Source organism: Homo sapiens, chromosome 20, assembly GCF_000001405.40.
Source record: "Homo sapiens chromosome 20, GRCh38.p14 Primary Assembly".
Classification (NCBI taxonomy): domain Eukaryota; kingdom Metazoa; phylum Chordata; class Mammalia; order Primates; family Hominidae; genus Homo; species Homo sapiens.
In genome coordinates, this window is record NC_000020.11 from 56,620,356 (window position 1) to 56,629,302 (window position 8,947).

Here is an 8,947-nt window from a genome sequence, read left to right on the forward strand (position 1 = left end):
AACAAGTTCCCATGGGATGCTCTTCGTCTGGGGCCTTATTTGAGAGCCACTGCTTTGTGCTGAGTGCAGGATTTTTTTTGTTTTGTTTTGTGTTTTGAGACAGGGTCTCTCTGTCACCCAGGCCGGAGTGCAGTGGCATAGTCATGGCTCACTGCAGCCTCAATCTCCTGGGGTCAAGTGATCCTCCCGCCTCAGCCTCCTGTGTAGCTGGGACCACAGGCACATGCCACCACACCCAGCTCATTTTTGTATTTTTTGTAGAGATGGGGTTTTGCCATGTTGCCCAGGCTAAGTGCAGGATTTTAATGGATAAGAACTTTCCAAATGGCAAATAAATGACATTGGACGAGGGCGTAACAGATCTGTTTACGCAGCAGTAGGACATCTTTAACCAAAATGAAAACGCATTATTGCCTCGTAGGATAAATTAGGGTAGGGAAGTGTTATGAATCTCTTTTGAGCATATCTAGGTTTCTTTTTTTTTCTCTTTTTTATTTTTGAGACAGAGTCTCACTGTCGCCAGGCTGGAGTGCAGTGGTGTGATCTTGGCTCACTGCAATCTCCGCCTCCCAGGTTCAAGAGATTCTCCTGCCTCAGCCTCCCAAGTAGCTGGGACTACAGGCATCCGCCACCATGTCCGGCTAATTTTTGGATTTTTAGTAGAGATGGGGTTTCACCATGTTGGCCAGGATGTTCTTGATCTCTTGACCTTGTGATCTGCCTGCCTTGGCCTCCTAAAGTGCTGGGATTACAGGCATGAGCCACCGTGCCCGGCTAAGCATATCTTTTCTCTTTTTTTTATTTTTTGAGACGGAGTCTCAATCAGTCGCCCAGGCTAGAGTGCAATGATGCGATCTCGGCTCACTGCAAGCTCCGCCTCCCGAGTTCATGCCATTCTCCTGCCTCAGCCTCCCGAGTAAGCTGGGACTACAAGCGCCCGCCACCGTGCCCGGCCCCAGCCAAGCATATCTAAGTTTCTTAAGGAAAGGAAATGTTGGCCTGGCACGGTGGCTCATGCCTGTGATCCCAGCATTTGGGAGGCTGAGACGGGCAGATCACAAGGTCAAGAGATCGAGACCATCCTGGCTAACACGGTGAAACCCCGTCTCTACTAAAAATACAAAAAATTAGCCAAGTGTGGTGGCACGTGCCTGTAGTTCCAGCTACTCGGGAGGCTGAGGCAGGAGAATCGCTTGAACCTGGGAGGCGAAGGTTGCAGTGAGCCAAGATCACGCCATTGCACTCCAGCCTGGGCAACAAGAGCGAAACTCCATCTAAAAAATAAAAATAAAAATAATTAAAAAAAGATTTTATTCAGTGGAGGTGAAAATATATATATATATGGTCTCTAAAAATTTTTGATTGGTGTGTCTGGTACTGAAAAGGGCTTGGAGATTGATATTTATTTTATACTACAGAGTATACAGAGTAGATCTAAAGAATAACATTTTTTCTTTCTTTGAGGTTCTGGTTTTAATTTGGTGTTGATTTTTGCTGGCTAGAGTTCCCCTCTGGATCTCTGGGTTGCCACGGTGACATTTTGGCCTTTATCACATTGCTGTTGTTTTTGGGCCTGCAGCTCCACTGAAATGAGTTCTTACATGCAGGACTCAGGAGCTTGGCACTGGGTCTAGGGAAGCCCATGTTTGTGTGCCACGTGAGGAAGATGAGGGAGAGAAAGTTAAGATACCACAGTCTGGCTCATGGGAGTTTAAAAAGTGGACAAAGGAGAAAGAACTGTCCCAAAAAGGTGTTGCTCCAGCTTCCTTGCAGACCCTTCCAGTGGGTGTTATCTCGAGGAAAGGGACCCTGGGGAGGTTGGAACCTTGTCGAAGTGCCAATTTTTCATCCTCATGTATTGTGACAGGAAAAGGTGCTCCAGTTTCTGAAGACAGGTAATATATTTGGGCATTAACAATGGTTATGGCATCCTTTGGTTTTTTAAATTGTAAAAGTAGATATTGGCCAGGAGCAGTGGCTCACGCCTGTAATCCCAGCACTTTGGGAAGCCGAGGTGGGTGAATCACTTTGAGGTCAGGAGTTTGAGACTAGCCTGGCCAACATGGTGAAACCCCATCTCTACTAACAATACAAAAATTAGCCAGTTGTGGTGGCGGGTTCCTATAGTCCCAGCTACTCAGGAGGCTGAGGGTGGAGAATTGCGTGAACCCAGGAGGCGGAGATTGCAGTGAGCTGAGATGGCACCACTGCACTCCAGCCTGGGTAACAGACTGAGACTCTGTCTCAAAAAAGAAAAAAAAAAAGTTGATACTGTGTTACATGTTTTTTTTTTCTTCTTTTTTTTTTGAGATGGGGTCTCGCTCTGTCACCCAGGCTGGAGTGCAGTGTCGCCATCTCGGCTCACTGCAAGCTCTGCCTCCTGGGTTCATGCCATTCTCCTGCCTCAGCCTCCCGAGTAGCTGGGACCACAGGCACCCACCACCACAACCGGCTAATTTTTTTGTATTTTTAGTAGAGACAGGGTTTCGCCGTGTTAGCCAGGATGGTCTCGATCTCCTGACCTCGTGATCCACCCACCTCGGCCTCCGAAAGTGCTGGGATTACAGGCGTGAGCCACCGCACCCGGCCCACTGTGTTACATGTTTCTTTATTGCTGCTGCTGTGATTGTATCACATGTAACTACAACAACAATAAAAATCTTCCTTTCTGGATTAAATTTTTAAATAAAATCAGGATGTTAACAGTGATCATTGTGCTTATTTTGAGAAATAATTATAACAGGATATATTAATTGCAACCCCCGCAATAAGAAAAAACAAAAACCAAAACCCAACCGTAAATAAGTAAAAAGTTGGCTTTCTCTCTACACCTCCCCTCCCCCAACCCCATCCTCCTGCCTGGGTGTACCTTTCAGTTACTCCTGTAGCAGGGACATACAGAATGGCATGTGTCGCTCTTAGTGATCAAAATCCTAGTCAGGCCTCCAATGAAGATTTATTTTCCCTGCATTTTTGTATTCTGCCTATTTTTTGGCCCAAGAAGTAGCCAGGGATGAATGTTTAAACCCTTTTTCCATGAAAGTGTCGCTGTGCTGAAGTCACTTTTTGTTTTGTGCAGCATAAAAATGCACATTCCATTCTTTTTTTTTTGAGACCGAGTCTAGCTCTGTCACCCAGGCTGGAGTGCAATGGGATGATCTTGGCTCACTGCAAACTCTGCCTCCTGGGTTCAAGCGATTCTCCTGCCTCAGCCTCCCGAGTAGCTGGGATCACAGGCACGTGCCACTGCAGAGTAGCTGGGATTACAGGTGCGCGCCAAGGCACCCGGCTAATTTTTTGTATTTTTAGTAGAGACAGTAGAGACATTTCACCATGTTGGCCAGGCTGGTCTTGAACTCCCGACCTCAGGTAATCCGCCTGCCTCGGCCTCCCAAAGTGTTAGGATTACAGGCGTGAGTCACACGCCCAGCCTCTTTGTGCATTTAAAACACTGCCTTTGCTGGGCGCGGTGGCTCACGCCTGTAATCCCAGCACTTTGGGAGGCCGAGGCAGGCGGATCACCTGAGGTCGGGAGTTGGAGACCAGCCTGACCAACACGGAGAAACCCCATCTCTAGTAAAAATACAAAAATTAGCCGGGCTCGGGCGTGGTGGTGTATGCCTGTAATCCCAGTTACTCTGGAGGCTGAAGCAGGAGAATCGCTTGAACCCCCGGAGGCGGAGGTTACGGTGAGCCAAGATCGCGCCATTGCACTCCAGCCTGGGCAACAAGAGCGAGACTCCATCTCAAAAAATAAATAAATAAATAAATAAATAAATAAATAAATAAAATAAAATAAAACAAAACACTGCCTTTGAAGGCTACTGGGGCACTGGTAAACTCTGGGAGAGGTTACCAGCAGGTGGGTGGAACTCTGCTTGCCTGCTGCTGCTTTTTTATTTCTTCTAAGGCATATGTAGAGCAATCTTGGATAAGTTTTCAACTCACCTCTCTTGGAAGGAAGCTGTTTGGGTTGCCTGGGCAGGTTTTGTGTGAAAACCAGCAAGAACTCAGATGATGAGAAGCAGCTTCTGTACAAGTCTGATTTCTCCTGCCTGGCCTGGGTGATCACAGTGGGTCCCGGGATGTTTAAACTGATGGTAGAGTCAACCATCAGCATTTATTTCTGTGTTTACAGTCTTCTTATTCTATTTTACTGGGCTCTTGGTTTTTGCTTGCCTGCCTACCTTCCTTTCTTCCTTCCTTCCTTCCATGTACTTTGCCCCTTTCTTTAAGGCAAATTAGCATGTAATGTGCAAACCAATCTCTCTGGCACTTAAGGAAGACCCCAAACCCCACTCCCTTTCTTCCCCTACCCCAAGAATTCACTACCCCTGGTTCAATTTCAGCTGAACCCGGAAACCTGTGATGTGACATGAAGGCTGAGAATTCCCAGAAATGTTAATACTTTTGGTCTTAGAAACTAACCAACTAAAAAAAAAAATCCCTTGCCAGTAAGAGGTAGGCTACATTTAAAATAATTTCTGACTGAAGAAGTCCTACGTACCGCTTGTCATATACATATGTAAAGATAATTTAAAACCCTAGGGTATACCCTTTTCAAATGCAGAGTTTATAGTTTCCAAGGGGAGGAGGGCAGGGGAGGAGTAACCAGGACCTTTCCTGCCAGTCTTCCAATCGCGATAGCTCGTTTTGGCTGTGAATTTCCCCCCTTCCCCTCCCCCTCCCGTTAATTAAATAAACGCTGGAAGCGTGTGTTTACCGCACACGACTCGGCCCTCGGGGAACTCTTTTTCTACGTCTCTCCTACTCTTAAACTCCTCAACTCACAGAGGGTTGGAGAGCTGGCACCATGAGCTTCCAGTTCCTACGGGTGAGAAAAGAGGTGTCTGTGTGGAGGGCAGGTGCGACCCCGGGGGCTAGCAGAGAGGAGAGGCTGCGGGAGGACTCGCTGCGAAGGGCGAGGGGTGGCGCTGGGTGGGACGGGCGCCTGGGGCCGTGCAGGGTGGCTCCTGGGTGCTGCCCGGGCTGCCTGTCGCCCAGTACTGGCGCAGGAAGACGGGTCCGCGCAGCGTCTGGCAACAGTGGCCTGCTCCACGCCTGGAGGCGACCAAGTTCTGAGTTAAAGGCGCCGGGCTTAGCCGGGAAGTGTATGGCGACCCAGAACACGGAGCGGAGAAGGCCTCAGGGGACACGAGGCTACCGCCTTAGTCCTCGGGCCTGCGCTCCGAGCGGTTAGGGTGCGTACGGATGGGCTCCGGGATGTTAGTGGAGAGGTGACAGGAGTCTACCATCCCACGGCCAAGCGTGTGAGGCCTCCGGCGGGCGGGGGTCCCCCCCGGGGCAGGGCAGGGGGAGAGTCAGGCATGTCTCTAACGGGCTCCCTAGTAGAACCGCTAGGAAAGTGGCCTTCAACCCTAGGCACCTTTGTGGCTTTCAGGTAGTTGGGCGACTAAAAATTCACTTTTGCCTGCTGTGAAATGGGACAGGTGGTTGTCAGGTTAGAGACTGTGCCCACGAAGTCTCGTTTGGCGGGCCGGGACTGACGTGGACCCGGGCCCTCCTCGGAAGCTTGGGAACCTGTGAGCCCCTCAGCTCCTCGCCTCACTTTGCCTGTTTGAAAAAAGGAGTTGTTTGAGAGGAAGAGTTAAGGCTCAAAAGGTTCTAAACGAAGAGCATGCGGCCTGACGCGGAGCGCAAAGAAGCGAGCAGTGAACTGAATCTGGTGGGACTGAGACCAGAGGCGTCTGTATGCGGCGGCCGCTTCGCGCCCTATTAAAGCAATCTGTTATTTACGATAATCATTTTTGTAATTATTTTGGAGTGGCTGTGACTTGATGTCTGTGGTGCCCCAGGGCATGCCCTTACTGGACATAGATACTTCAGGGTGCCCTTTGACGCCAGTGTCGGTCCAGTGGGTGCCAGTGCCGCGAAGGGAGGGTGGCGGGCGTGAATGCCCCCTCCTCCTGGGTTTGCCGCAGGCCCCGGCCTTTCCACCTTGCTTGATCCTGGCGGGTCTGCCACTTACTGAGGTCCCTACCGGCGCTCACGTTGTCCCGAGAGGCGGGACAAACGTCCGGCGCGTGGCGCGGAGTCTGCGAAAGCGCTCGGGGGCCTCCATCTTCTGCTCGGGAGTCCCCTCCCTGGGGCGGGAAGAGGAGTCGCAGATCTGCCCGAATCTTGCTCTACCCGCCTGGCCGCCTTCTTCCGTCTGGGGTGGGGGCAGGGGTGGCGGATGACTCAGGCCTGGGGCCGGGAGCCCTGTTTCCAAAGGCACCACCTCGCGCCTCTTTGGAAGTGGCGCGCTGTTGGGGCGCTCCCGCTGTTGCAGAGGCCTGGTTTGCGGTTTCATAGGGGCGTGGGTCCAGGGCTTCCAGGGAGTAAGTGAGTTTAGGCTCCCTAGGGGGCGGTAGAGGGGAACCCCCGACAACCTTCCATCCTCTTCTCCAGGCGGCTGCGAGGCCTCCGGGGTTCCAGAGGGGTCCCCTTCTGCCGGTGCCGGCTGTCTTGAGCGCGGCCACGCAGTCCGCGTCTTCACGTGGGCAAGGGGCGGGGACGTTGGAGGGAGGCTGTCTTGGATGCTGGAGCCTTCGGTTCCCGGCTCTGCTGAGCAGAAAAGTTGAAGTCAAGGAAGGGTTGAGGCTTCCTCACAAGGGCGCGCGCGTGCCTGGGTGCCGGCCCAGAAGCCGAGAATGTGCGTATTGGGGAAGGGTCTCCCGTGCCGAGAAGACAGAGGATTTGTTCTAGCTGCCTTCCGTACAGAGGGCGCGGAGGTTGCGCTCCAGTTCGAACGCTTACCCATTGGAAAGAGGGCAGCGCCGGGGTCCAGGGAAGCTCCTTGGGAATGAATGGCCTTTGCCAAGCGGTTCCGGATCCTCTGGGTCCTTTGGGCCCACGGCACGGTGCTGCGCGAGCCCTCAGTGCCCATCGGCTCCCTTCGCCTCCTGCGTAGACGCTCCCAGGCGGGGAGGCATATCGGTTCCTCCGGGCAGCTTTGGCTAGTGTTGCTGTGGGAAAGGAGAGCCAGGGCCTGGGATGGGGGATGAGCACCTTCTTGCCCATTCCGGGCCCCAGCGTGCAGGAGGTAAACTTGCCAGCACAGACAAGACAGCTTGTTCAAGCTGCACCTCAGGCCGGGTCAGAGAATAAAACCGAGGGCTAGAAGGCCCAGAATGTCGGACAGCCCAGCGGCACCCGTCAGGGAGTCCCAGGCGCCCGAAAGAGGCGCCGCACCTCTGGCGAGTCTAGGACCCATCTTCCTGGACCTGTGCTCTGGAGTGCCTGCGGGCCTGGGTCTAATTTCTGCTTCTGGCAGGTGTCCCCCTCCCCCGCCGCTAATACCAGGAGCGCTGCTTCTGCGGTAACTTATTTTACCCCCAGAAGCCTGTTTTGGGACCGAAGTGTCAGGGTCCTGTGTGTCTTTTTATGCACTGTTCTCCTTAGTGCAAAGCCCTGCAGATATGCTTGGCCGAAAAGTCTCAGTGGTTTCAACTTCCAGATTTTGTTCCCGCGTCCGGTCGGAAAATCACCTGGGATTTGGCTGCTGTCTAAGGCCGGGGGAAAGTTTCCCTTGGAGGACGCCTATTATTATTATTTTCTTTTAGGCCCACCTGGGTCTAAATAAATGCTAAAGTTCAAACGAACCCGAGAAGGAACAGCGAGGCAGTGGATGCCGCCATTCCGTGGATGGGAGAGTCATGTCTACTGCAGGTGCGGACACCGTACTGATAGGCATTGATTATTGCAAAATCGTATTCAGTATCAAATAGAAATAGTCTTGTCCTCTAATCCCCACAGAATGTTTAAATCCAGCCCAGGGAGCCAGTTGGGGCGTCCCAACAAATACGCCCTCGAGAATTAGCGATGTTCCCCTTACAATGAAAGTCAATTGCTGCATAATAACTGGGCCAAAGAATTTCGTTAGTTTAAATTTTAAAAATTAGTATTGCACTTTGCTTTCAAGTTTGGGTGGCAAGTACCGAAGGGGAGAGGGAAGCAGCGTTTGTGTGGAAGGAAGTTTCGTTTTCTGTCTAAACATGTGGGACCTGGGTGTCTACCTCTCCAGTCGAGAGCTCTCTGCAGGCTCTCTCCCAACTTCCTGCACCTCCTCACCCTCACCTTACCCGTGGCGCTCGGGTTTTATTCCTGCCCGGCGCTTCTTTCCCAGGGCGAGTAGAGGCTTCTGAGTGACCGGCCCGCCAGAGGCAGCTGCAGAGCCGGCGTTCCGCAGGGCAGGGCAGGGCCGGGCCGCTGGGCTGGTCCAGTGCGCGCGGGTTCCCCCTGGCCTCAGCCAGCCGCGGGAGATGCCACTTCGGGCGACAGCGGCGAGACGCCGCTGTCCGCAACTCCTGGGCGGGTAGGACCGTCTGCTGCCTCTGCGGCCCTTGGGGCAGACTCCCCAGGAGTCCCTTCCTCTCTCCTCCCGCCCGGGGGCCGGGACCGCGCTGTGCCCACGGAGGGAACTGGGCGTCTCTGGCGCACTGGGGCTCCAGCTGCATGATCCCAGCTCAGACCTTAAGCCTCAGTGGGGTGTAGGTGGGATGGGATGTGTTTTTAGGAGATGAGGAGACCCCGGTTGTTGAGTCGCTCCCCAAATGCGCAGTTTCTTAACTCCAGGTGACATCCGTCTTTTGGAGGAACGAGTGAAGGCCGTTTAGGCGAAAGAGGGGTGGGTTTCAGTATTTGGATCCCTTCCCCCAGCTCTGCCAATCTCAGGTGTGTTTACGGTGGAGGTGACAGAAGGAAGGCGCGTCGGGGGACCCAGGCCTCGCAGGTCTTCGGCTGTCAACGAGGCACCGCCCACTGACTCCGCGCTTCGTCCCTCACAGCGTGGGGCTCGGCGCTGCGCCAGGCCCGGGTGCGGGGCGGAGCTAGGCTGGGACTGGCTGGGGGCCGCCCCGCCCGGCGCCTGGGCCTCCGCGCCGGCCCCCGGGGAGGAGTTATGATAATTTCCTTCTCATTAAGGCGCTCGGGTCCCCCGGCTATC

At 53.3% G+C, this 8,947-nt stretch overlaps 3 annotated features.

Moving 5' to 3' along the window:
- Positions 4,451-5,213: an enhancer, noted in NCBI's record as "H3K27ac-H3K4me1 hESC enhancer chr20:55199862-55200624 (GRCh37/hg19 assembly coordinates)". NCBI's record gives its function as "activates a minimal SCP1, AML or CMV promoter by ChIP-STARR-seq in primed H9 embryonic stem cells {active_cell/tissue: H9 hESC(primed)}" and the evidence as "EXISTENCE:reporter gene assay evidence [ECO:0000049][PMID:30033119]".
- Positions 6,738-7,498: an enhancer, noted in NCBI's record as "H3K27ac-H3K4me1 hESC enhancer chr20:55202149-55202909 (GRCh37/hg19 assembly coordinates)". NCBI's record gives its function as "activates a minimal SCP1, AML or CMV promoter by ChIP-STARR-seq in naive H9 embryonic stem cells {active_cell/tissue: H9 hESC(naive)}" and the evidence as "EXISTENCE:reporter gene assay evidence [ECO:0000049][PMID:30033119]".
- Positions 8,862-8,921: a silencer, noted in NCBI's record as "silent region_13058". NCBI's record gives its function as "represses an Ori minimal core promoter by ATAC-STARR-seq in GM12878 lymphoblastoid cells {active_cell/tissue: GM12878}" and the evidence as "EXISTENCE:reporter gene assay evidence [ECO:0000049][PMID:35858748]".